At 47.0% G+C, this 26,493-nt stretch overlaps 1 protein-coding gene and 1 pseudogene across 12 annotated transcripts in view, besides 9 other annotated features; one reads left to right on the forward strand and one right to left on the reverse strand.

Moving 5' to 3' along the window:
* Positions 2,176-2,265: a silencer, noted in NCBI's record as "silent region_17735". NCBI's record gives its function as "represses an Ori minimal core promoter by ATAC-STARR-seq in GM12878 lymphoblastoid cells {active_cell/tissue: GM12878}" and the evidence as "EXISTENCE:reporter gene assay evidence [ECO:0000049][PMID:35858748]".
* Positions 2,366-2,665: a silencer, noted in NCBI's record as "silent region_17736". NCBI's record gives its function as "represses an Ori minimal core promoter by ATAC-STARR-seq in GM12878 lymphoblastoid cells {active_cell/tissue: GM12878}" and the evidence as "EXISTENCE:reporter gene assay evidence [ECO:0000049][PMID:35858748]".
* Positions 2,366-3,279: a biological region, named in NCBI's record as "H3K27ac hESC enhancer GRCh37_chr6:158653118-158653990".
* Positions 2,407-3,279: an enhancer, noted in NCBI's record as "H3K27ac hESC enhancer chr6:158653118-158653990 (GRCh37/hg19 assembly coordinates)". NCBI's record gives its function as "activates a minimal SCP1, AML or CMV promoter by ChIP-STARR-seq in primed H9 embryonic stem cells {active_cell/tissue: H9 hESC(primed)}" and the evidence as "EXISTENCE:reporter gene assay evidence [ECO:0000049][PMID:30033119]".
* Positions 2,516-26,493, forward strand: part of TULP4 (TUB like protein 4) — a 279,634-nt gene continuing 255,656 nt past the window's right edge. For 9 of the 12 annotated variants that reach the window (XM_047419081.1, XM_047419086.1, XM_047419085.1 and 6 more), the window contains exon 1: positions 2,516-2,624. The gene's annotated coding sequence lies outside the window, so the exon portion shown is untranslated. Of the gene's footprint in view, positions 2,625-3,211; positions 3,425-15,500; positions 15,655-26,493 lie in introns of all 12 variants that reach the window. The other 3 variants (XM_047419082.1, XM_047419087.1, XM_047419084.1) reach the window with 2 other exon arrangements.
* Positions 3,036-3,165: a silencer, noted in NCBI's record as "silent region_17737". NCBI's record gives its function as "represses an Ori minimal core promoter by ATAC-STARR-seq in GM12878 lymphoblastoid cells {active_cell/tissue: GM12878}" and the evidence as "EXISTENCE:reporter gene assay evidence [ECO:0000049][PMID:35858748]".
* Positions 3,286-3,335: an enhancer, noted in NCBI's record as "active region_25347". NCBI's record gives its function as "activates an Ori minimal core promoter by ATAC-STARR-seq in GM12878 lymphoblastoid cells {active_cell/tissue: GM12878}" and the evidence as "EXISTENCE:reporter gene assay evidence [ECO:0000049][PMID:35858748]".
* On the reverse strand, positions 7,431-13,136 carry SRP72P2 (signal recognition particle 72 pseudogene 2; annotated as a pseudogene).
* Positions 12,554-12,663: an enhancer, noted in NCBI's record as "active region_25348". NCBI's record gives its function as "activates an Ori minimal core promoter by ATAC-STARR-seq in GM12878 lymphoblastoid cells {active_cell/tissue: GM12878}" and the evidence as "EXISTENCE:reporter gene assay evidence [ECO:0000049][PMID:35858748]".
* Positions 12,774-12,843: an enhancer, noted in NCBI's record as "active region_25349". NCBI's record gives its function as "activates an Ori minimal core promoter by ATAC-STARR-seq in GM12878 lymphoblastoid cells {active_cell/tissue: GM12878}" and the evidence as "EXISTENCE:reporter gene assay evidence [ECO:0000049][PMID:35858748]".
* Positions 13,244-13,293: an enhancer, noted in NCBI's record as "active region_25350". NCBI's record gives its function as "activates an Ori minimal core promoter by ATAC-STARR-seq in GM12878 lymphoblastoid cells {active_cell/tissue: GM12878}" and the evidence as "EXISTENCE:reporter gene assay evidence [ECO:0000049][PMID:35858748]".

The raw sequence follows: 26,493 nt of genomic DNA on the forward strand, positions 1-26,493 counted from the left end.
AAGAGAGAGTTTATACCTGTGGGCCTTATGGAAAACTATGGTATTATTAGAAGAGTAGTTTCAAGGTTTGTATTTTTTTTTTCATTTTGCAGAAGCAAGAACACCTGTATCATTCAGTCTTGATGGTATTTGTTGTATCATTTTTATACTGTTACATAGATTGTATTTATTAAGTCAAGAAAGTTCATCTTTAATCCTTCTTCTCTTTAGTCTGACAGCAAGGGTCAAAATTTCCATAATTTGCTCCAGGCCAGGGCCAAGCAAATGAATGCTGATCCCTGATCCGTGTGTGTGTGCGCGCGCGCGCAAGAGAGAAAGGGTTTAAAAAATGTTATGTATATATTTTGGCCAGGAGTGGTGACTCATGCCTGTAATTCCAGCACTTTGGGAGGCCGAGGTGGGCAGATAACCTGAGGTCAGGAGTTTGAGACCAGCCTGGCCAACATGGTGAAACCTCGTATCTATTAAAAATACAAAATTAGATGGGCATGGTGGTAGCGCCTGTAATCCCAGCAATCCCAGCTACTCGGGAGGCTGAGGCAGGAGAATTGCTTGAACCTGGGAGGCGGAGGTTGCAGTTAGCGGAGATCACACCACTGCACCCCAGCCTGGGCAACAGAGTGAGACTCCGTCTCAAAAAAACAAACAAAAAAGTTATGCACACATTTTAAAGTAATTCTGTACAGAAATTGTAAATTTTGAAGGCAAGGGCCATATCATATTCTTCCTTTGATCTCTCCACAGTATTTAACATAACATTGAGCACTAAACTGAAGTGCAATACTAATTACATTGAGCGAAGATTATCTTTTAAGGTACTCTAAGATGTAAATGTAGTTTTATTTCTTAAGGTTTTCAAAATTAAGTTTTGGAGTGCTTATAAAATATAATCAAATAATGCTGATCTTAATGCTTCTATTAAATGCGTTATACATATATATTATATATATACTCTTTTTGAGACAGGGTCTCACTCTGTCACCCAGGCTGGAGTGCAGTGGCGCAATCTCGGCTCCCTGCAACCTCTGCCTCTCGGGGTTCAAAGGATTCTCGTGCCTCAGCCTCCGGAGTAGCTGGGACCACAGTTAAATGCATTATATTTATACGCATTCAAACATGAGGCAACTATTCTTGGTTCAGTTACTTTTAAATTAATATTTAATTTTCTTGTGTTAGAGCCGGGTTTCGCTATGCTCAGGCTGGAGTCCACAGGCATGATTATAGCTCACTGCGGCCCCCAGCTCCTGGTCTCCAGGGATCCACCCGCCTCAGCCTCCGGAGTAGCTGGGGACTACACGCCACGCTTGGCTTACCTTTTTAAAAATAAAAAAAGTCTAGGTAGCATTTGTCAAAATTTGTAAAATTAGGTCAAGTGTGGTGGCTCATGCCTGTAATCTCAACACTTTGGAAGGCAGAGGCAGGAGGATCACTTGGAGCCAGGAGTTCGAGATGAGCCAGGGCAACAGAGCGAAACTCCTACACTGAAAAAAAAAAAATCACAAATGAGCTGGGCATGGTGGCGGGCACCTGTAGTCCCTAGCTACTCGGGAGGCTGAGGCGAGTATTCATGGAATTTCAGAATTTAACAAACTCGGTCCAACTTTTTTTTTGACAAAATTCACAGAATCAGTAATTCTTAAGTCTGAAACGGATTCGAAAACTTTTGCAGACAGGCAAAACAGAAAACAACGCTGAGCCCTTGCGGAAGAGTCGCTGCTATTCCTAACTATATGGGGCCTCTAATGCTTCAAATCAAGGAAAAAAGAATGCTTTTTTTTTTAAACTACACGTGTGAAGAGTCACACAATCAGCTATGCTATTTCTTTGCACAAGCTGGAAAAAGAAGAGATTATCAAGTTTCGTTGTTAGCAGGACATCCATCAAATTTAACAGGAGGGGGAAGGCTGTGAATTGTTCTTCCCTGAGTTAAAATGACGCTATCCGGTCCTTTCTCCATGGACAACTGAAGAAGAGATCCTCTGGGATGTTACCATCGCGGCCACTCGGGTGACCGTTTTCCCGGGGAGCTGCGCGGGTCGGTGGTGACAGCGCTTCTGTGCTCCCGGCGGCTTTCCCTGTAAGACATAATGGGACTGGGACGTCCACTTCCGGCTCAAACGAAGTTCAGACGGCGCGCAAGCCGCGCGGTGCCCGGGTGCTGAGGCCGTCCCGAGCCAGGAGACTGGAGGCCTAGGCCCGGCACTGTGGGCATCTTGGGCACCGTGGCGCGGTGCGGGCCGGGGGCGGGGGTCTCCCGGGGTGGCGACGCCGGGGGTGCGAGCAGGTGGCCCGGGCAGGCGGCGGCTCCGGTGGCGGGCGGCGCGGCGGCCCGCGGGGTGGCGTTGGGGACGCGAGCCCTGGGCCGGGGAGGGAGGGCGGCCGGGGGGCGCCAACGGCCGGCGGTGGGGGCCGGGGCGGTAGCGCCGGCCGGGGAGGCGCCGCTCGCCGCGCCGGGTCACGTGGCGCGGTCACGTGGCGCGCAGCCGGGCCGGCGGCGGCGGCGGTGAAGGGAGGCGGAGACTCGGCCGAGACGCGGGGGGAGGCGGCGGCGGCGGCGATGCGGGGCTGCTGGAGGCGGAGAGGCACGGAGGAGCCGCTGGGGCTGCCGCCACGGCCGCCCGGAGGTGAGCGGGCGCGGGGCCACTGTCGCCGCCGCGCAGTCCCGCGGGAGGGGGCGCCGGCCCGAGCGTCGTCCCTGCCCCGCCGGGCGTGTGTGCCCCTGCGGTGGGCCCCGGGGTCTGCGCGGCGGGCTTGGTGGGCGCGGCGGGCGGGGGTCGGGGCGGTGGCTGCGGGAGTCTTGGGAGGGGGCGGCGCAAGGGGGCGTCTGACCCGGGCCCGGCGGCCGTGGCCGCTGCTTGGCTGTGGGAGCCTTTTGTCTCCGCGTGTGAGAAAATGGGGCGAAAGCTGAGCGCGGGGCGGGCGTGCGTGTGGGGTGGTGCGTGTGGTGTGTGTGTGAGATCGGGAGGCGTTTGGCTTGGAGCCATTTTTTTTTCTTAATTGTGGAGACAGAAAATCCCTGAAAACGGTTTCCCCAGGGAGACTGGGCTGCGCTCCTCCTCTTCCTCCCCGGCGTCGGGCCCGAGCGGCTTCCCCGGCCGCGCCGCCACCTCCCCTGCCGGACCAGTCTCCCCAGCCCGCCTGCCCCACCTTCCGCGAAGCCCCCGGGCGAGCCGGGTGACTGCAGAGCGGGCCGGGTCACCTGTCGTGGCAGCTGCATGGAAATCCCGGCGCTTCTGCTGTCTGGAGTCTGTGCTGTTTCCTCTGGCAAATCACGGAGATTCTGTTCCGAGCACCAACCCTTCCTCTTTGCCATGCGCTCCACAACGCAGAGCAGGACGCCGATTCCGAAGTTTGACCCGCTTGGGGCAATTAGCTGGGAGGTGTCTACTTCTTCCTGTGGCGACACCGCTTCAGGGATGGGAAGGTGAGGGTGGTCTGGCTTTGTGGAAGGAAACGAGGGTGACACAGCCCTCTCCGAGGTTGAGGTCCGTTAGGGTCCTAATTCCTTCTACCTGCTGAACTGCCCTTGTCATCAGAAAGTCTCTTAAGACTTTCCTGTCGGGGATAATCAGCTCCCCTCGCCAGGAACTGTCTCCTGGATCTCTTTGGGGTCTCCCCCACGCCCTTTTGTTTTACAGTAGTTCAGCACCTTAAGGATATCCTTTAAGTCATTGCAATAGGCAGGTTTATGAAAAAGCACAGAGGAAGTTATTTCTAAGGTTTTGAAGGACGTAAAAACCCGTTGCAGGTGTGGGTGTGGGTCCCTTCCTTTGTGCCTCTTCCTCCGTGTCTGGGTTCTCCATTTCTTAGTTGAAGTTCTTGCAGACAAACCCGCTGGGAATGGTGCGGTGGTCCTGGAAAGTTCTCCCCGGGCTCCGCAGCGCCAGATTGCTGGGGTGTGAGGTTGTGATGGATGAGAAGTGACAGGGCACCTTGCACATAGCCACACTGCAATCCAGAGAGGCCATGGGCACACTCATCTCGCGTTGTGCAGTGATAGCCATATTCTGAATGGGAGAGTCACAAGTGTCCTGTCTTCTAGTGAAGTCCTTGATAGGTAACTGGCATGGAAGTGATGATATGAATAAATTGTGAATAGCTAAATTTGATGTTTAGTTCTTCAGTTTAAAGAATAGTACTTAATTTGTGTGAAAGTTGTTAGACGATGTGGATTTCCTTTAAGAATTTTAAGAGCTCTATATTAGGGCTGTGGAAGTAGCAGGTTTATTTATTTATTTTTGGTTTTGTTTTTTACATGATGTGGGGAGGTGTTGGCTTCCGGAGTTAAAGTCCGTAGTGCTGAATTAGAGGGAGGAATATGGAGAAAAATGTTTTCAACACAATGGAACTTTCATACATGGAAGATGATTAGGAAGTCATGATTGCTTCCTGTGGTTGAGAAATACGAACTTTATGCATTTACTATTGTTTATTTTAAAATAATGTCCTCTTCATTTAGAAAGAGTTTGTGTGTATAAATCATATTTATCTTTCAGCCTTGCATATGGAGCTCTAAGAGTGGCAGTTTGGTTATTCACAGTTTTTTACCTACCAAAACTCTGAATAGAAAAAGATGTTTAACCCATAAAGCAATGTGTGGTACCTGAAGCCTGTTTTAAATGGAATCATCCAACATTGATGCTGAGATGGCGAGTAATGGAAGAGTCAAGAGACAGCAGCCTTCCTTCAGGCCAAATTTCAGCCCTCTCACTGGATAGTTTATAGGACAGTGGGAAGCCCAGGTTTTCTTTTTGATTTTGCTATAGATTCCAGTATCTGAATTCAGGAAGGTTTGTGGAGTGGCTACCATGTGCATGGCTAAGCTAGGTCGGAATTTTTATTCATCTGTTCTACTCATTTGCAACATCAATTAACAATCTCCTGGAGAGAGTGAAGATAGAGTGGCTCAGCTATGCATGTGATTTGTAAAATGCATTTAAAAACTGAGTACAACCTCTTATGAAATGCTGTGATTTAGTTACTGCATGGGTTTCTGTTTAGCATTCTGTGCAGCATTTCAGTATTACCAAAAGCCTTACAGAAATTGTACATTTGTCTTTAGTGAGACTTCATGGAATATGTAATTAAAATGTCAAATGTGTTTTAATTTGGCTGAGATAATGTTAATTTAGTTACTAAATTGTAACATACTAAACATACTAATTTTTTGTGGTAAAATGTACATACCATAAAATTTATCATCCTGGCTGGGTGTGGTGGCTCCCGCCTATAATCCCAGTACTTTGGGAGGCTGGGGCAGATGGATCCCTTTAGGCCAGGAGTTCGAGACCAGCCTGGCCAACATGGTGAAACCCTGTCTCTACTAAAAATACAAAAATTAACCAGTTGCTGTGGCACACACCTGTAATCCCAGCTACCTGAGAGGCAGAGGCAAAAGAATTGCTTGAACCCGGGAGGCTGAGGTTGCTGTAAGGTTGCAGTGAGCAGAGGTTGCACCACTGCACTCCAGCCTGGGTGACACAGCGAAACTCTGTCTCAAAGAAAAAAAAAAAAAACTTAAATTTTCAGTGTACAGTTCAGTAGCATTAAGTATATTCACGTTGTCATGCAACTATCACTTCTGTCCAGAACTTTGTTCAGATTCCCAAACTGAAACTCCAGACCTGTTAAACCCCAACTCTTTCTTTTCCCCTCCCTGCAGCCCCTGGAAACCACCCCTCTATTTTCTATCTCTATGAATTTGACTACTCTAGGTACCTCATGTAAGTGCAATCACACAGTATTTGCCCTTTCATGACTGGCTTATTTCACTTAGCGTGATATCCTCAGGGTTCATCCATGTTATAGCATGTGTCAGCATTTGCATCCTTTTGTTCTTGCTGTTGTTTCTAGAGACAAGGTCTCACTATGTTGCCCAGGCTGGTCTTGAACTCCTGGGCTCAAGCAGTCCTCCCAGCTAGGCCTCCCGAAGTGCTTGGTTTACAGGCATGAGCCACCACGCCCAGCCGAATTCCTGTCCTTCTAAAAACTGAATAATATTCCATTGTATGTATATACCACATTTTGTTGATAAACGTTCTAGATTTTTGTATACTAAATGTTAGTAACTGTGGTACTTCATGATGATCAGGAACCTTGTATTTGACCTTAGTGAAAAGACCACGAGGCAATGATCAGGAACTCTGATTAGAAGTTATAGAACACTTATTTTATTAAAACAAATTAAATTAATTAAATTAGTTAAAACAAATTCGTTATTGTTTAATGCATAGAAACTCTTTAAAATGAGGACCCATGGGGGATAAAACCAGTACGTGTGTTAAATCCTTGCTGGGTCCTATCACTTCCCTTCTATATGGATGATGACATTCCAGCACATCTTCCTGAAATTGCGGCTGATGCAGATGTTGTTTTTATTTCCCAGCTAATGTTGTAGTGGTGGTATATTTTGCTGAATGGAAAGGTATATTCATTTATAGGGCTCCTTTAAAATTCAATAAATCTTAAAGGGAAATGTAGGTAAATGTTAATAGAATTCCAGTATGGGAAAAGTCTTTCTAAGCTTAACACCAAATGGAAACCTATAAAGTAAAAGATTTGACAGCAGTTTTTACAGCATATGTTATTTTCAGTGTCTGTATAGTGAAGAATGGCATGAGCAAAAAGACAAATGACAAACTGGAAAAATATGTGCAACATATATTAAACATCTCAATTTATATAGACCCTTAAAAATCAATAAGAAAAAGATGAACAGTTCATTAGAAAAATGGGCTAAGGACATGAGCAGATCTTTTTTTCTTTACATTTCAACTATTTATCATGGAATTCTTTTTTTTCTTGTGGCCATTCATTTAATTAAGTGAAGAACATCAGTGTATTAAGAAAGTTCCTCTTTATCACATGATATTTCTAAGCAGATATTTTGGAATGCTCAGAAGATTCCACTTTCAGTCACCTAAGGCCTCCATAATTTAAAGTGGAACTTGAACAGAAAGAAGTGTCTTCAGACTCTAGCTGAAATAGTAGAAGTAGTTTCTGTTTAAATCCTGGAAAACCTTAGATAAGGTTTGTGAAGCTGAAAAAAGATCAAATCAGCACACACAGATAAAGGATACAACAGATACCAAGATGGGTAAATGCCCAATTCTTTTCTTTTTTTTTTTTTTTTTTTTTTTTTTTTTTTTTTTTGAGATAGGGTCTTGCTCTGTCACCCAGGCTGGAGTGCAGTGGCCCCATCTCGGCTCACTGCAACCTCCGCCTCCCAGTTTCAAGCGATTCTGCCTCAGCCACCCGAGTAGCTGGGACTACAGGTGCGTGCCACCACACCCAGCTAATTTTTGTATGTTTAGTAGAGACAGGGTTTCACTGTGTTGGCCAGGCTGGTCTCAAACTCCAGACCTTGTGATCTGCCCACCTCAGCCTCCCAAAGTGCTGGGATTACAGGTGTGAGCCACCGTGCCCGGCCATATTTTCAGTCCTCATAATCTGTACAAAGCTATGAGGCAACCAGTAGGCCATATCTCACTAGGCAGACTTTGAGGAAGATGTTTTCCATTTGAAACACAAGGAATTATTTATGAAAATATGGAGATGAAGAGGGAGCAGTTCTGTGCTTCTTGCTGTATTACCTTTATTATATTCCTAATGTTACCGAGACTAGTTTAAAAACAGCCTTCAACAAGAATATTCTCATCACCAGCCACCTTTTCCACCTTTCTTCTTTTTCTGTTGCTGTTTCTTTTTTGTTGCTGGAGCCCCTGCAGGTCTCTGGTGTCTTGGGGGTATGATGTTACTTGTAGAGGCAGATAGTGTCGCTGCACTGCCAGGTCTTGGGGAGGTGGGTGGGCTACTCACAGTTTTTCTGGCATCCAGTTCAGATGAAGCTCCTGCAGTTGCTCCCTGGGTCCCTTTTCCCATCTGATCCTTCTTTTTACCCTTCTTTCTTCCCTGGTAGAAAGAACATTCTTGCATTGGCAGCCATCTTTCTGGATCTGGGGTAAGTTTTGGGTCATAATTCTTAGGCAATTTTCCCTTCTTTTTCTTTTTCAAATCTCCCTTTCCTTGTTCCTTTGGTTGACTATCTCTAGTAACTTTTCCACCCTTCCAAATGTATGTAGCACCAGGAGAATTTTCAAGAGCCTCAACATCTACTTTTAGAGACATACTATCTGATGATGGCAAATGTTTACTAAGAGCTGTGCCTTTCTCTGGATCTGCAAGTGAGTAAGCAGAAATAAACTGTGCCAGGGTATGAATATCTTTTGGATTTTGTTTCCATAGCTGTTCTAGGTCACTAATTGCCTCCTCCCGCCCATATTTGAGCTTGAAGTTTGCAGCTTCTTTTATCAAGGACAAATGAGCAGGAGATTTGAGCTGATGGTTTTGATACCACCAGATAGCTTGTGTGAAGACATCAGTGGTACTATTAAATCTTCTTCATGGCTACACATGGTCACTAATGCAGACACCATGCCTGGTTTCTGCTTTAACTCCTCTCTGCTTCTCAATATTAGACATGCTAAGAAATATTCTCTTGAGAAATTTTCAACTGTGCCATGGTCAGCTTAATTTCAATTGCATTTTCTTGATGCTGATCTGAAAATTCCTGAAGCAGCTCTATTGCTTTTGTGTGCTGCTTTTCACGCAGAGCTGGGCACCTTGGGTTAACATAGGTGAGAGATGCTCGGGACTTTGGGAATGTAAACTGGCAGATATTTTGAGGCATTGTTCGGCCTGGTTTGTGTACATAGCAAGTAATGCCTTGTTAAATTGTTTTTTTTTTTTTTTTTAAATTTATTTTTTTATTGATAATTCTTGGGTGTTTCTCACAGAGGGGGATTTGGCAGGGTCATGGGACAATAGTGGAGGGAAGGTCAGCAGATAAACAAGTGAACAAAGGTCTCTGGTTTTCCTAGGCAGAGGACCCTGCGGCCTTCCGCAGTGTTTGTGTCCCTGATTACTTGAGATTAGGGATTGGTGATGACTCTTAAGGAGCATGCTGCCTTCAAGCATCTGTTTAACAAAGCACATCTTGCACCGCCCTTAATCCATTTAACCCTGAGTGGACACAGCACATGTTTCAGAGAGCACAGGGTTGGGGGTAAGGTCACAGATCAACAGGATCCCAAGGCAGAAGAATTTTTCTTAGTGCAGAACAAAATGAAAAGTCTCCCATGTCTACTTCTTTCTACACAGACACGGCAACCATCCGATTTCTCAATCTTTTCCCCACCTTTCCCGCCTTTCTATTCCACAAAGCCGCCATTGTCATCCTGGCCCGTTCTCAATGAGCTGTTGGGCACACCTCCCAGACGGGGTGGTGGCCGGGCAGAGGGGCTCCTCACTTCCCAGTAGGGGTGGCCGGGCAGAGGCGCCCCTCACCTCCCGGACGAGGCGGCTGGCCGGGCGGGGGGCTGACCCCCCCACCTCCCTCCCGGACGGGGCGGCTGGCCGGGCAGAGGGGCTCCTCACTTCCCAGTAGGGGCGGCCGGGCAGAGGCGCCCCTCACCTCCCGGACGAGGCGGCTGGCCGGGCGGGGGGCTGACCCCCCCCACCTCCCTCCCGGACGGGACGGCTGGCCGGGCGGGGGGCTGACCCCCCCACCTCCCTCCCGGACCGGGCGGCTGGCCGGGCAGAGGGGCTCCTCACTTCCCAGTAGGGGCGGCCGGGCAGAGGCGCCCCTCACCTCCCGGACGGGGCGGCTGGCCGGGCAGGGGGGCTGACACCCCCCACCTCCCTCCCGGACGGGGCGGCTGGCCGGGCGGGGGGCTGACCCCCCCACCTCCCTCCCGGACGGGGCGGCTGGCCGGGTGGGGGGCTGACCCCCCCACCTCCCTCCCGGACGGGGAGGCTGGCCGGGCAGAGGGGCTCCTCACTTCCCAGTAAGGGCAGCCGGGCAGAGGCGCCCCTCACCTCCCGGACGGGGCGGCTGGCCGGGCAGGGGGGCTGACCCCCCCCACCTCCCTCCCGGACGGGGCGGCTGGCCGGGTGGGGGGCTGACCCCCCCACCTCCCTCCCGGACCGGGCGGCTGGCCGGGCAGAGGGGCTCCTCACTTCCCAGTAGGGGCGGCCGGGCAGAGGCGCCCCTCACCTCCCAGACGGGGCGGCTGGCCGGGCGGAGGGCTGACCCCCCCACCTCCCTCCCGGACAGGGCGGCTGGCCGGGCGGGGGGCTGACCCCCCCACCTCCCTCCCGGACGGGGCGGCTGGCCGGGCAGAGGGGCTCCTCACTTCCCAGTAGGGGCGGCCGGGCAGAGGCGCCCCTCACCTCCCGGACGGGGCGGCTGGCCGGGCAGGGGGGCTGACCCCCCCCACCTCCCTCCCGGACGGGGCGGCTGGCTGGGCGGGGGGCTGACCCCCCCACCTCCCTCCCGGACGGGGCGGCTGGCCGGGCGGGGGGCTGACCCCCCCACCTCCCTCCCGGACGGGGCGGCTGGCCGGGCAGAGGGGCTCCTCACTTCCCAGTAGGGGCGGCCGGGCAGAGGCGCCCCTCACCTCCCAGACGGGGCGGCTGGCCGGGCGGAGGGCTGTCCCCCCCACCTCCCTCCCGGACAGGGCGGCTGGCCGGGCGGGGGGCTGACCCCCCCACCTCCCTCCCGGACGGGGCGGCTGGCCGGGCAGAGGGGCTCCTCACTTCCCAGTAGGGGTGGCCGGGCAGAGGCGCCCCTCACCTCCCGGACGGGGCGGCTGGCCGGGCGGGGGGCTGACTCCCCCACCTCCCTCCCGGACCGGGCGGCTGGCCGGGCAGAGGGGCTCCTCACTTCCCAGTAGGGGCGGCCGGGCAGAGGCGCCCCTCACCTCCCAGACGGGGCGGCTGGCTGGGCGGAAGGCTGACCCCCCCACCTCCCTCCCGGACAGGGCGGCTGGCCGGGCGGGGGGCTGACCCCCCCACCTCCCTCCCGGACGGGGGCGGCTGGCCGGGCAGAGGGGCTCCTCACTTCCCAGTAGGGGCGGCCGGGCAGAGGCGCCCCTCACCTCCCAGACGGGGCGGCTGGCCGGGTGGAGGCTGACCCCCCCACCTCCCTCCCAGACGGGGCAGCTGGCCAGGCGGGGGGCTGACCCCCCCCACCTCCCTCCCGGACGGGGCGGCTGGCCGGGCGGGGGGCTGACCCCCCCACCTCCCTCCCGGTCGGCACGGCTGGCCAGGCGGGGGGCTGAACCCCCCACCTCCCTCCCGGATGGCATGGCTGGCTGGGCGGGGGGGCTGACCCCCCACCTCCCTCCCGGACGGGGTGGCTGCCGGGCGGAGACGCTCCTCACTTCCCAGATCGGGTGGCTGCCGGGCGGAGAGGCTCCTCACTTCTCAGTCAGGGCAGCTGCCGGGCGGAGGGGCTCCTCACTTCTCAGACGGGGTGGTTGCCAGGCAGAGGGTCTCCTCACTTCTCAGATGGGGCGGCCGGGTAGAGACGCTCCTCACCTCCCAGACGGGGTCTCGGCCGGGCAGAGGCGCTCCTCACGTCCCAGAGGGGGCGGCGGGGCAGAGGCGCTCCCCACATCTCAGACGATGGGCGGCCGGGCAGAGACGCTCCTCACTTCCTAGATGTGATGGCGGCTGGGAAGAGGCGCTCCTCACTTCCTAGATGGGATGGCGGCCGGGCGGAGACGCTCCTCACTTTCCAGACTGGGCAGCCAGGCAGAGGGGCTCCTCACATCCCAGATGATGGGCGGCCAGGCAGACACTCCTCACTTCCCAGACGGGGTGGCGGCCGGGCAGAGGCTGCAATCTCGGCACTTTGGGAGGCCAAGGCAGGCGGCTGGGAGGTGTAGGTTGTAGTGAGCTGAGATCACGCCACTGCACTCCAGCCTGGGCACCATTGAGCACTGAGTGAACGAGACTCCGTCTGCAATCCCGGCACCTCGGGAGGCCAAGGCTGGCGGATCACTCGCGGTTAGGGGCTGGAGACCGCCCGGCCAATACAGCGAAACCCCGTCTCCACCAAAACCAGTCAGGCGTGAAATTGTTTTTTTTTTGAGATGGTGTCTCGCTCTGTCACCCAGGCTGGAGTGCAGTGGCGTGACCTTGGCTCACCGCAACCTCTGCGTCTCTGGTTCAAGCGATTCTTCTGCCTCAGCCTCCCGAGTAGCCGGGACTACAGGCACGCACCATCACGCCCAGCTAATTTTTGTATTTTTAGTAGAGACGGGGTTTTACCGTATTGGCCAGGCTGGTCTCGAACTCCTGACCTTGTGATCTGCCTGCCTCCGCCTCCCAAAGTGCTGGGATTACAGGCATGAGCCACCGCGCCAGGCCAGCTTTGTTAAATTCTATAGCTTGTAGTTGTTTCTTGGAAAGCTTAAACTCTACTCTTTCCGCATTGGTTAATTTCACTTTCTTCTTGGAGTCAAAGACATTTTGGTCCTTGTTAATGGTAATGATGTTATTTGCAATTACATCTAGTAACCCTACATCCGTTGGTTTTAGTAGTAGTATTTGATTGTAAAGTTGCAGAGCCTCCTCTGTTTGACCCTGAAGCTGCAGAATATAGGCCATCTGACCATAAGTGATGGCCAGTCCTGCCTGTGGGTCTTCCTCAGTCTCATCAGTGTCTTCTGATAATGAATGGTGGCAAAGACCTTCAGCTTTTTGTAGGATGTTCATGGCCTGGTTCAGCTGGCCGTGGTCTATCAGTGCACATGCAGTGTTTAGCACAGCTCATGTGTGCCTTCTTGGAAGCCCAGGCTCTCTGGAGCCACTTTTTCCCAATTGCTTTGAGCTGCAACAACTGCTGAAGGGTTTGTTTTCCTCTCCTCATCATAAGCATCGTGGGAGTTTCGGACGAGATCTCTTTATGCCACTAAGCATTCATCATAGTGTTCCAAACGGTGTAACACTTATCCATAAAGCTCCTTCAGTTTGTCTGTCTGCCGGTTGGTACTTTCTACTGTCTTCAAGACATTCTCAATTCTGTTGAGCCTGTACTCGCAATATGCCTTTTCAAAGGAGAGAGAGTTATTGGCTAACAGTTTGGTGCAAGTATTGATGACATTCAAGGCTTCTCTGAAACTTCCTTTCTGGATAAGGCATATCACTTTACAATGCAGGCCAGTTACATCATCTTTGTGGATCTGCAGTATCTTATTGACAGGCTTGAGAGCACACAGGAAGTTGCTGTTCTGGCCGTACCGGTTCACTTCACTCCACACAGCACAGGCACTGAAACTCCACCCTGCTGCTCACTGTCGCCCAGGCTGGAGTGCAGTGGCGCAATCTTGGCTCACTGCAACCTTCGCCTCCCGGGTTCAAGTGATTCTCCTTGCCCCAGCTTCCCAAGTAGCTGGGATTACAGGTGCCCACCACAACACCCGGCTAATTTTTTTGTTGTTTTTAGTAGAGACAGGGTTTCACTATGTTGGCTAGGCTGGTCTCGAACTCCTGACTTCGTGATCCGCCCGCCTCGGCCTCCCAAAGTGCTGGGATTGCAGACGTGAGCCACCGCACCCGGCCTATCATGGAAATTTTAAAACATTGCTAACAGTGGAGACTGGTGTAATAAAGCACTGTATCTTGCCCAGCTTTGGCAATTTTAAAACGTTACCAGTTTTGTTTGAGCAATACCTCTCACGTCCCTCCACTTGGATTATTTTAAAGCAAATCAAGCTGTCATATAATTTTGTCTGTAAATATTTTAGTACATGTCTCCAAAAGAAAAAGACCCCTTAAAATAATTACAATACTATTATCTTACCTTAAAAATTTTTTCTTAGTATCATCAGATATCCAATCAATACTCCTTGACTGCAGTATATATTTGTGTGTATGTATGTGTGTGTATGGGCGTGTACGTGTGTGTGTGTGTGTTTATATCATATCATATATATATATATGATTGTTTGAATTAAGATGCAAATAAGGTCCATACATTGCAGTTGGATGGTTTAAAGTCTCTTTTAACCTATAGGTTCTCTATCTTTTTTTTTCTTTGCAACTCTTTATTGAAGAAACTGAATTTTATTCTTTGCATCCTTGTAATGTAAAATATGTTATTTTATTTCTTGTGTTTCCTGTACATTGGTAGTTCATTGTAGAGGCTAAATCAAAAGAATCCAATTTTATTTTTTTGTGAGGGCAGGATTATTTTCATCAGGAAGTCTTCTTTCTTTCTTTTTGTGATACTAGCAACCATTCTTGAATGTTAACTTGGTCTATGAGTTCAGGAGGGATTACAATATGGTTACATCCTGTCATTTAGTTATTAGCTGAAATAGGTGTGTGTGTGTGTGTGTGTGTGTGTGTGTGTGTGTGTGTAGAAATTCTCCTTTGTCAATTATTTGGTTACCTTGAGGTATAGAGTGTATAGGAAGGGTTTGAAAAGTGTCTGATTATTTCCCTTGATTTACCAGTTTTCAAAGTTATGATTTGGTCCCCTAGCATCCTCCAGTGGTGATGGTTGAGGGTTTTAAATTTTTTCGCATAACATTATGAACGCCTATTTTAGCATACGTGGTGTGTTTCAGTCCATTGCAGTTACTGTCCTTTCGATGCTCAAATTGCTCCCTCTTTGGGCAGTGTAGGCTTATTTAGGCTGGCACCTGAGTCCTTCTGACACGTCTCTAGTAATCTCATAGCTTCCTTGCTTTACGATATGATGAGATGTTTCAGGTTCGTCCTGTATACTTTCTGTTTCAGACATGAAATCAGAGCAGACCATTTTTAAAAGAAAAAAAACCTAAATGTGCAATAAACAAAATGTTCAGTTTTACTAGTCATTAAATAAATAGAATTCAGAGCTAAAGTAGATACCATTTGTTGTGGACTGAGTGTTTGAGTCCCCCTACCCCCGTTCATATGTTGAAGCCCTAAGTCCCAATGTGATAGTATTTGGAAGTGGGGTCTGTAGGAGGTAATTAAGGTTAGATGAGGTCATGAGTGTGGGGCCTTCATATGGGCTTAGTGTCCTTAGAAGAAGAGACACCAGGAGGCTTGCTTTTTTTCTCCCCATGTGAGCACACAGCAGGATGGCAGCTGCCTACAAGGGAGGAAAAAAAGCCTGAGAATGAAACCTACCTTGCTGGTACCTTGATCTTAGACTTTTAGCCTCCAGAACTTCGAGAAATAAATTTCTGTTGTGGCCGGGCATGGTGGCTCATGCCTGTAGTCCTAGCACTTTGGGAGGCTGAGGTGAGACGATCACTTGAGCACAGGAGTTTGAGACCAGCCTGGGCAACATAGCGAGACTTTGTCTCTATTTATTTATTTTTTATTTAAATAATAATAAAAAAACTAAAAACATAAAAGAAACAAAATAAATTTCTGTTGTTTAAGCCACTCAGTTTATGGTTTTATCGCAGCCTGAGCAGACTTAAGACAGCATTTTTCAGTGATTATGTTGGCAATATAATTTAGACACAATTTTTTTATTTTTTTGGAGACAGGGTCTTACTTTGTCACCCAGGCTGGAGTGCAGTGGTGCGATCATGCTTACTGCAGCCTGGCCTCCCAGGTTCAAGCAATCCTCCTCCCTTAGCCTTCTGAGTAGCTGGGACTACGGGCACATATCACCACACCTGGTCAATTAAATTTTTTTTTTTTTTTTTTAGGGATGAAGCCTCACTATGTTGCCCAGGCTGGTCTTGAACTCCTGGGCTCAAGGGATCCTCCTGCCTTGCCCTCCCGAAGTGTTGGGGTTACAGGTGTGAGCCACCGCACCCGGCCTAGACCCAATTTAGTCCTTTATGGATTTGAAATGATTTGGTAAAGTTTAATATAAAGTATCATGTTATGATGACTTCTGCTGTTCCTTCTCTTGCTGATCTTATTATTTGGGCATCTCCTGGTGTGGAAAGGGAATGATAAGGATGATGGTAATTCTCGGTGCTGGTGCAGATGAAGGGAGGTATGTCCTCTCAGATAGCCTATGTAGACATTGATGCACTCAGTCCAGATAGCTGCTGTTAGATATCACAATGCAAAGTGTGCATAGCCTTCTACCCAGAAAGTCCACATTTAGTAGGAATTTATTCTGAAGAAATAGTAGGAAATGTTAGAACAGATATATGTACATAGTAAAGAATAGGAAATAACCTTAGACAAGGAATTATTTAAATGGATTATATTACCTTCCTTGCATGCAGCCATTGAAAGTGATGACATGCATTTATAGCAACCAATCTGGGAAGGTACCCATAATATTGAGTGAAAAAGATAGGTTACATAAACATAGGCACAGCACTTGGAAACATATAGGCACAGAAGATGCTGAACAACTAGGCTTTGAAGGCTGAGCCGAGAGGATCTAAGCTCCAGAAACCACCTAATAGATGTTTGTTTAGGTAACCATGGTCTCAAAGACTGCACCAACTGGTTTAATTCTCCTGTCATAAGATTCAAATTTCCTGGACTGAGCATATGATTGACCGTGAGTAATTTGCCTACCCCTTAGGGGTGTGTGTGTGTGTGTGTGTGTGTGTGTGTGTGTGTGTGTATTGTTCTCAATTGAGATTTCTATAAAGACCATATAGAATGGGGACGGACTCACAAGGAGAGTTGAGGTTATTTTAACTAAAGAAAGGGGAAGACATTCCAGGAAGACAAGGAGATAGATGCTCACTACCTATTTAGCTAAAATTAAATACATCTGGGCCGGGCATGGTGGCTCATGCCTGTAATCCCAGCACTTTGGGAGGCTGAGGTGGGTGGATTACGAGGTCAGGAGATCGAGACCACGGTGAAACCCAGTCTCTACTAAAAATACAAAAAAGGATTAGCCGGGCGTGGTGGCAGGCGCCTGTAGTCCCAGCTACTCAGGAGGCTGAGGCAGGAGAATGGCGTGAACCCAGGAGGCGGAGCTTGCAGTGAGCTGAGATCGCACCACTGCACTCCAGCCTGGGCGACAAAGTGAGACTCCATCTCAAAAAAAAAAAAAAAATTAAATACATTATTTGCTCAGAAACATTAATCACATCTCTATAAAATGACTGCAAACTCTGATAAATAAATGCTTTCTTTTCCTTTTAACCATCTCTTTACCATGGTAGGATCTATACCAGTGAGTCAGCTCTACTTGGTTTCTTGCTTTCATAGAATATAATTGGTGAAAATTAAAATTTTGAATTCATGGATTTAAAAATTTATGCCCTTTTTCCTTTTAAATATGGCTAATTTAGAATCAGTTATTTTTTCTAATGTAAGCAGAAATAACAGTCTCTATACTTATGTGGTGTCAAGGATACTCACCCGTGAGATAAAGAGTATTTTAAGAATAGAATTGAAATGTAGTATTTATGGAAAGCTCCAACAGTAATGGTGTGGTAGGTTATAGAGTGTAGGAAGTTATTCTGTAGGTGTGCAGCAGTGCTGTGCAGAGGATATAGATTTATTTGAACATCTTTCTCACTGTTATTATTTTTAATCAGAAACACAATTAGAGTCAAAATGGATTTGAGAGAGCTTTGCAAAAGATACACACTATAATGTAAGATACTGATTTCTCACTTTTTAAAAATTAAAGACTCAATTTAGACTGTAATGGATGGGAAAGGATTTGGAAACATGTTACATGGGGTATTAGGTTATTACCATTATTTCTACTGTTTCTTCCTTTTGTAGTTTTAACATGTATCCCAGTTTGTAATGGGCATATTAGATCCCCTGGGATAAAGTGCTTGTAGAGTCTAATCTATTAATGTCTGGTTAAGTCTAAGAATTTGATCCTTTAAGTCAATCATGGTTTATGAAACATTTTTTAAGATTTTTATGAAAGAAAGCTATGAAGTCTTACAGCTTTTATTTGTATGTTTCAGCTATTGATCCAGCTAGTTACTAGTTGGAACACTACATTCTAAAGACTCATTCGTATCTGCTTTCCAAAACTGTTGCTCAGCAATTTTGAATTCTACTTAAATGTTATAGAGTGTTGTCACTAGGTTCAGAATTTTTTCATCCTACTGGATGTTTCTTTTATTAGTTTCTTGTCAAGGACAAAAGGAAGATTAGTTTAAACTTCTTGAGTCAGTTATACCTCTGATTTGTGTGTGTGAATGTTTTTCAGTCCCAGTTAGGGAAGTCAAGAGTTTTGTGTAGGAAGCTCTTACAGGACCATGTTGTTCTCCCCTGCAACTGTGCCTTTCCACTATCTTTGGCTATTAAGAGTGTGTTTACCTCCATGGGGAAATGCACATCATTGTTACGAACAGCTATGGCAAAATGGTAGTGTCAGAGATCCTCAGACAACAAACCGAGCTGTTAGTGCCGGGGCAGTTTTAATATTCATGAAAAGTTGATCAGCAGTGATGTTACCATAGGCTGAGAAAATATACAGGATTATCTTTACACGTAATCAGTTTCTTAAGCTTCAAATGACCCTCTTAGCCACAAAACCGGAGGCACAAATTCAGCTCCAGTGGTTAGAATATCAAGACCTATATCATAAGAAGTTAGGCTTCTGCTGTGCGCACAAAACCCATCAGCCAAAGCTGACATTTTCGGCAGAGTTACTGTTTAGAGTTGTTAAATAATCAGAGAATTTAACTGTTAACTGTATGTTAACAGATTAGAGAATGCCATTAAAATGTGATGCCTGGCCGTGCATGGTGGCTCATGCCTGTAATCCCAGCATTTTGGGAGGCTGAGTTGGGTGGATCATTTGAATGCAGGAGTTGGAGACCAGCCTGGACAACATAGCCAGGCCTCGTCTTTTTTTTTTTCTTGAGACGGAGTCTCGCTCTGTTGCCCAGGCTGGAGTGCAGTGGCGCAATCTTGGCTCACTGCAAGCTCTGCCTCCTGGGTTCACGCCATTCTCCTGCCTCAGCCTCCCAAGTAGCTGGGACTATAGGCACCCGCCACCACGCCCGGCTAATTTTTTTGTATTTTAGTAGAGACGGGGTTTCATTGTGTTAGCCAGGATGATCTCGACCTCCTGACCTTCTGATCTGCCCACCTCGGCCTCCCAAAGTGCTGGGATTACAGGCATGAGCCACCGTGCCCGGCGTCTGTTCTTTACAGATAATTTAAAAACTAGCTGGGCATGGTGGTGCACCTGTGTCCCCGCTACTCGGAGGCCTGAGGTGGGATGATCGCTTGAGCCTGGGGAGGTTGAGGCTGCAGTGAGCCATGATTGTGCCACCGCACTCTAGCCTGGGTAACAGAGCGAGACCCAGTCTCCAAAATAAATAAATAAGTAAGTAAGTAAATAAATAAATAAATAGTGATGCCTGGATTTAATGTATCTGAGAGAAAGAGGTTTAAAGAGGTTGGGTTGCTCAGGCGTGGTGGCTCACACATGTAATCCCAGCACGTTGACAGGTTTAGGTGGAAGGATTGCTTGAGCCCAAGAGTTGGAGACCAGCCTGGGCAACATAGCTAGACCTACTTCATCACTGCAACTAATGTAAAAAATTAGCCCGGTGTGGTGGCAAGTGCCTGTGGTCCCAGCTAGGTGGGAGGCTGAGGTGGGAGGATCACTTGAGCCCAGGGAGGTCAAGGCTGGGTGACAGAGTGAGACCCTGTCTCAAAAAAAAAAAAAAAAGAAAAAAGAGGTTGGGTCATAGGAGAAGCCCATAAGATGAATGCGGTTGACACTGAGGTCACCTTTTCCAGGCCTTACAAGTGATTTGAGCCTTTACCATTTTTATTCTTGTTATATTTTCCCATGAAATGAGAAACTCAGTCTTATGTTTCATATGTAGAAACTACTTTTCTGAGTTAATTTTCTGTTGCCTGAATAATGAAATAAATAATCTAATATTTGAAATGTTTGGGGGTAATGCACAATAACTCTTAATAAAAGACAGAAAGCTCACATTTTGCTTATCTTATTCCATTAGTAATTATTTTTAATACTGGGACAGAAGTGAGAATGAAAGTGGCACGCATTCTGTTTCGTCTTTTTACCCAGCTTTGCCTCTGAGGGACTTGGGAATAAATTAGGTAGTGTAGGATTGGGATGCTGCCCAGAATCTATCTATTGTAGCTTACTCTAATGCATCAGTTCCCAGCCTTTTTGGATTTATGACATTCTATTTGTGTTTGATTTTGCATCTCCCTCCTCACAACTTCAATGGCTGTGACAGCCGGGTCTGTGTTATCAGTGGAGAGCAAAGTCCTGATAGGAACTCCACAAATTTTCTCTCTCATTCAGTTTTATCTTAATTACATTAACCTTTAATTTTAACTATCACTTTCAGACTTTTTCTGGACCATTAACAAGCTGCTCAATTACATTGCTATATGGAATATGTTTATTTAAAGTTTTTGACCAATTAAAATGCCTTGAAAAATTTTGTGATACAGTATAAAAAGTAGTCAATGATAGTGAGAATTGTATTTTATGTGCATTTTTGTGCAAGAAATTTGATAGAGTAATATTAAGTATCATTTGGTCCCTGCTAGGCTAAAACTGCTTCTTTTTTTGAGACGGAGTCTTGCTGTGTCACCCAGGCTGGAGTACAGTGGCACAATCATAGCTCGCTGCACCTTGATTTCCCTGACTCAAGTGATCCTTCCACCTTGGCCTCCCAAAGTGCTGGGATTAGAGACATGAGCCACCATTCCTAGTTAAAATGCATTTCTTTTCTTTTCTTTTTTTTTTTTTTGTTTTGAGACGGAGTGTCGCTCTGTCACCAGGCTGGAGTGCAGTGGCACGATCTTGGCTTACTGCAGCCTCCGCCTCCCGAGTTCAAGCGATTATTCTGTCTCAGCCTCCCGAGCAGCTGGGACTACAGGCGCCTGCCACCACACCCAGCTAATTTTTGTAGTTTTAGTAGAGACTGGATTTCACCATGTTGGCCAGGATGATCTCGATCTCTTGACCTCGTGATCTGCCTGCCTTGGCCTCCCAAAGTGCTGGGATTACAGGCATGAGCCACTATACCTGGCGCCAAAATGCTTTTCTTTAGAGAGAGATATAGAAGCAATAATGTTTATGAGGTGCTTTGGAATCAGCTTTCTATAAATTTATTGTAAAATAGAGAAGTCTCAAGGTTGACCATATGGTTCAGAAATGGTAGGAGTATTGTTCTTAATTCTGAGAGCCTTGGGATACCACATTTTTTCTTCCCTTTCTTAGCTTTGTTTTCTGTGTTTCGCAAATACCTCTTGTCTCCTTGGCTGACTGATGGTCATATAAATGGAATCTCCTTGGCTGTCCTTCACCCATGTTTAGTTGGTGAAGTTCTTTCTCCCCCACATGACTGAGAAAAATGGCATGTGATTTTACTAATAGGGAATTGATCTGTTACTCTGATGTATACAAGACAGCCAAAACTTGATGTATACAAGGAAGCACTATCAGGTGAGTGATACCAGTGATCTATGGAGGTCAGTTTAAGCCAATGACTTCCCCCTTTTAATTTTCATCACTTATTCATTATTTATTACCAAACCTTTCACTAGATTGTTAATGACTAGCAGAATTGGTTTCGCTCCTTTGGTGTTGAGTGGTAGAGTGGACCCCAGATGAGATGTCCCAAGAAGGAGGCAGACAGGGGAGGCTGGGCGCATTCACAAATTAGATCACAAAAGAGCCCTGAGAAGTTAAGATTTGGTTAATTCCTTTCTCTTCATTTTGTGTCCGCCTGGCCTTAAGTACTGTCTGTTACCACATAATATTATTTTGAGAAGCAGATTATTAATATTTTATAGCATGGGTTTATCTAATGTTATTGAAAGATTGTTAATCAGCTGGGATGCATACCTTCAGCTACTGAATTTTTAGTTCGGTGGTTTAATACGGTCATACTCTTCTGTGTGAAAAATATTTTGTTTCTTGGCTTCTGTATTCATGTGTGGAACTTCATTGTCATGTGAGATTTACAAGCTTCTGCCTCTTAATTCTTAATATAACTAATATTTTTAATATGATTCTAACTTAGACTTAATATAAACTATTTTTTATATATAGGGACATTTGAAAGAAGTACACTGTCTCTTCTAATTCTCTGGTCTCTTTGTACATTTAAAAACACACAGAAACAACAATCAAAAAATTCCTGAGATAGATTGGCTCTAATGTAAACTGCTGAGTTATGAGTAACTGTATTTTATTTTAAAAGATGCTTTTTCTTTGGATATGTGAGTCTCTCTAAAAATCCAGGTAAATGGGGCTTCAGGTGGAAAATGACTGCTCGCATGCATTGAAGCTTTTCCACTTCCCTCTTCTGGTGCTGATTGGCTGGTGCTGAAATTTGAGTCTAGTTTTGACAGTGCAGAGTCTTTGTACTCCTTAGTCTTTTCTCAGGACCCCCACTTCTGGTTTGACCAGATCACTATTGTAGGCACCAAGTAGCTAAGCTTGATATACTGAGCTCAAAGAGGAAAGGTTTTAGATTCTAGAAGATTTTGGTTAGGAATAGTCAGATTAAACAGAGGTTAGCTGCATTGAAGCTCCACTTTCTCTAGCAGAACTCTCAGGCTGCAGAGAACCCAGAGGGTTTGGATGGTTGGGACAAAACATGTAGTTGAAGGAGATTCTGAATGTGAGTTTGGACGGTTTTGAAATGTGTGAAGCAGTTGTAGCAGATAGAGCATCTAGGCCTGTAGCATTTCATTTTTTTAAGTTTATGGAGTTTACTGTGTTACCTCTTAGGTGTATAAGTATTTTTCATGGTTGGTTGCCTTGTAACTCCATGTTCATGACATATTTTGATGTGTAAAAGTTTATTCTGTGTAGTCAAACCTATCGATCTTTTTTCCATTGTTTCTACCTTGATTTTTTAGAAAGTCTTTTTCCCATAGAATGTTTTTTCTTTTTTTTTTTTTCTTGAGCAGATGTTGGGTATTTTTAATTTTTTTATAAGCTTTTGTTTATTTACTTTTTTAGGTGGAGTCTCGCTCTGTCACCCAGGCTGGAGTGCAGTGGTATGATCTCAGCTCACTGCAGCCTTCGCCTCCTGGGTTCAAGCGATTCTCCTGTCTCAGCCTCCCAAGTGGCTGGGACTAAACGTGCGCACCACCATGCCCAGCTACTTTTTGTATTTTCGGTAGAGACGAGGTTTCACCACGTTGGCCAGGATGGTCTCGATCTCTTGACCTCATGATCTGCCCGCCTCGGCCTCCCAAAGTGCTGGGATTACAGGTGTGAGCCACCGCGCCCAGCCAGCATCTTACATAACTAGAGCATTTGTCAAAACTAAGAAATTAACATTGGTACATTATTATTAATTGAACACTAGACTTCTTTCAGATTTTGCCAGTTTTTTCTTTTTTTCCCCTTATCAGAATGGCCACTCCGTAGGCAGAGCAGCCCGGTTTTTTCACTAATGTACTTTTTCCAGGTTACCACATTGGATTTAGATGGGGTGGGTTTTTCTATCCGCGTTTGTGTAGAACTTTACAGCTTTACAGTTCAGTCCTTTCACACACATATGGTAATTTAGATGGAAAATAATCTTAGGCATTGGTCTTATTAGACGCATCTGCTCCATGAAGCTTACGCGTTGGCAGGGATGCTGCTTTGCATGTGTGAGGCCACAAGAAACTTGGGCATAGAAATCCCATGCGAATTGTCAGTCACTGCTTCTATTTTCCATTATTTGTTCATCTTAATTCCCTAAGATGTTTTGCTCTCACTCTGCTGTCTCGTTCTTTTGCCTGGACCTGAGTGGAAAATTAGGATATGTTGTTGCTGATTTTTAAGTCTAGGAGAGAAAGTCACCCTCACTGTGAGGAAGAATGTATTCCTATACATCACCCTCCAGGATCTAGGTGTGAGGCATGACCAGTCTTCCAACTTTATTGCCTAGACGAGACATGTTGCCTGAATAAACACGTGTCTTACTCTTCAGATAGGTTTGAAAATCTCTGTGGCCTGCTCTCCTGTCTCTGCCCTGCCGTAAGTGGAGACAGATGGACAAAACTAAGAGATGGAGAGGGCGGGCAGGGAATTAGGCAGAGCAGGCTGCATGTTGAGTGGCTTCATGTCAGGTGGGCTACCTGGTCAAAAGAGCATTAGCAGGGAGGCCTTAGATGCCTCTGGATTTATTATCTTGTGGCTTCTCAGCTTACACCTGTTAATGTTAGTTGACCTGAGCTTTCTCATGGGTGACCAGTAGTAGCTTCTATTTGTGCATTCAAATAATCTCCCCTCTTTCTAACTAAAACACTTTTTTTGATTTTCTTAACATTTTCTGACCTACAGAACGCCACTGCCCTACCTTTCCATATAGAAGACAGAATGTGCCGAGCATGGTGGCTCATGCCTTTAATCCCAGCACTTTGGGAGGCCAAGGTGGGCGGATCACCTGAGATCAGGAGTTCGAGACCAGACTGGCCAACATGGCGAAACTCCGTCTCTACTAAAAATAGAAAAATTATTAGCTGGGCTTGGTGGCAGGCACCTGTAATCAGAGCTACTCGGAAGGCTGAGGCAGGGAGAATTGCTTGAACCCAGGAGTCGGAGGTTGCAGTGAGCTGAGATTGCCCCACTGTACTCCAGCCTGGGTGATAGAGCAAGACTCTGTCTCAAAAAAAAAAAGAAAACAGTGAGAATCTGATTATTGTGCATGCCTATGGAGGAGGGGTCAAGGAAAGAGTGGAGAAGGGAATCCTGGTTTTGGCCTCCAACCAAGTCATTAGTAAATCAGTGGAGACAGAGTCTTGCTCTGTGGCCCAGGCTGGAGTGCAATGGCATGATCTCGGCTCACTGCAGCCTCCGCCTTCTGGGTTTAAATGATTCTCATGACTCAGCCTCCTGAATAGCTGGGATTACAGGAATGCGCCACCATGCCTGGCTAATTTTTGTATTTTTAGTAGAGATGGGGTTTTGCCATGTTGGCCAGGCTGGTCTCAAACTCCTGACCTCAAGTGATCTACCAGCCTTGGCCTCCCAAAGTGCTGGGATTACAAGCGTGAGCCACCACACCCAGCCCAGAAACACCATTTTTAAGGTAGATGTCCATTAGTAGATTACACATACTTCAGTTTGGCCAGATAAGAGTGTTGGCCTTTTCTCCAAGGAGTTTTTTTGAATGGTTTGTGACTTTTTCCACTGTAAGTGATAATCATTGCTTACTTATGTTTAACCCCTAGTTTACAAAGTATTTTTCCACATATGCCATTTCATTTGGTCTTCACAGCCACCTTGCACAATATGTCAAGCACATATTTTTGTATTTTATGAGAAAACTAAGGCTGAGATTTGCCTGTAGTCATGAGATGTTAAGCAGAAGTCTTGAGACTTGAGTCTGCATCTCCTGATTAAAAACTCTGTGTTCCGGCCAGGTGCCGTGGCTCACGCTTGTTATCCCAGCACTTTGGGAGGCTGAGGTGGGTGGATCACCCGAGACCGGAAGTTCCAGACCAGCCTGGCCAACATGGCGAAACCCTGTCTCTACTAAAAGTACAAAAATTAACTGGGCATGGTGTCAGGTGCCTGTAGTCCCAGCTACTCAGGAGGCTGAGTCAGGAGAATCACTTGAACCCAGGAGGTGGAGGTTGCAGTGAGCTGAGATTGCGCCACTGCACTCCAGCCTGGGTGACAGAGTGAGACTCTGTCTCAAAAACAAAACAAAACAAAAGCAACAGAAAAACTCTGTGTCCCTTGTCTTACTCCCTCACCCCCACCCTGTGGCCTCCCTCTGCATGGATCCTGTCATGTTTATGAATCCCCCTGCAGGTGTTGCTGGAGGGGGCTTTCTCTTGGCAGTTGTAGACACTGTTGGGGACCAGAGCATGTACCCTAAATTGATAACCGGCAGACCCTGTCGAGTGCATATCTAATGTTCTTTCTTCCCTTCTTTCTAAGTAGAATTGGAATTTTGTTTAGAGAGCCTCTTGTCTCCTGTGTGACTCTGGGGAAGGTGATCTTATCCCTAGCACTGGGGTAAATCCTGACTGGTTTCAGCTAGTCACATGGGTCCCATTCTCCGTAGGTGATGACTGTAGGGGTGAGCCAGAGACCTAGTTCTGGTCAGTGAGATTAGTGGGAGGTCTGTCCAGAGGTTCTGGAAAACTCAGCCTTACAGCAACAACTCTAAGAATGGTGGCCTTTTCTTCCTCTGAAAGTTGTCATGTCTGGGTGTGGTGCCTGGAACTGTTACAATTGTTTTGCTACTGGTCTGAGCATGAAGCCAACATCAGGTTAAGGACTGAGCCAAGCCAACAGCAGAGAGAACTCTGCAGAGCCCCAGTGCACCATGCTTGGCACCCACTAACCTTGGACTTGTTCTGTGAAATAAATTTTCTTATTGTTTACACCAATTTAAGTTAGGGTTATCTGTTATTTGCAACCGAAGATGTGCTAACTGATGCAATAGCTGTCATTCTTTCCCTCATTGCATGAAGAAGTACAGGGTATAAAGGCAGAATTGATCTAGTCAGAAGGTCAGAGGTGGCTTCCCTGGGGAAATGCAGAGGCCTTGGTGGGAGAGATCCCTTTTCTTGCTGGGCCTCGTGTGCCACATTTAAGGATTTTGGTCTTTATCGCAAGAGCAGAGCCTGTTATAGGTTTAAGTACTGGGCTATGGCATGAATGCAGTGAACTCTTACTATTTAAAGTAACTCTCTAGTTACTTAAGCTACTCCTCCTGAAGAACACCTTGGCTTAACATTCCAGAGTTGAGTTTGATTTGCTGAGCAGGCAAGGAGCAGTCAGTGGTT

This window comes from Homo sapiens, chromosome 6 (genome assembly GCF_000001405.40).
Source record: "Homo sapiens chromosome 6, GRCh38.p14 Primary Assembly".
NCBI classification, from domain to species: domain Eukaryota; kingdom Metazoa; phylum Chordata; class Mammalia; order Primates; family Hominidae; genus Homo; species Homo sapiens.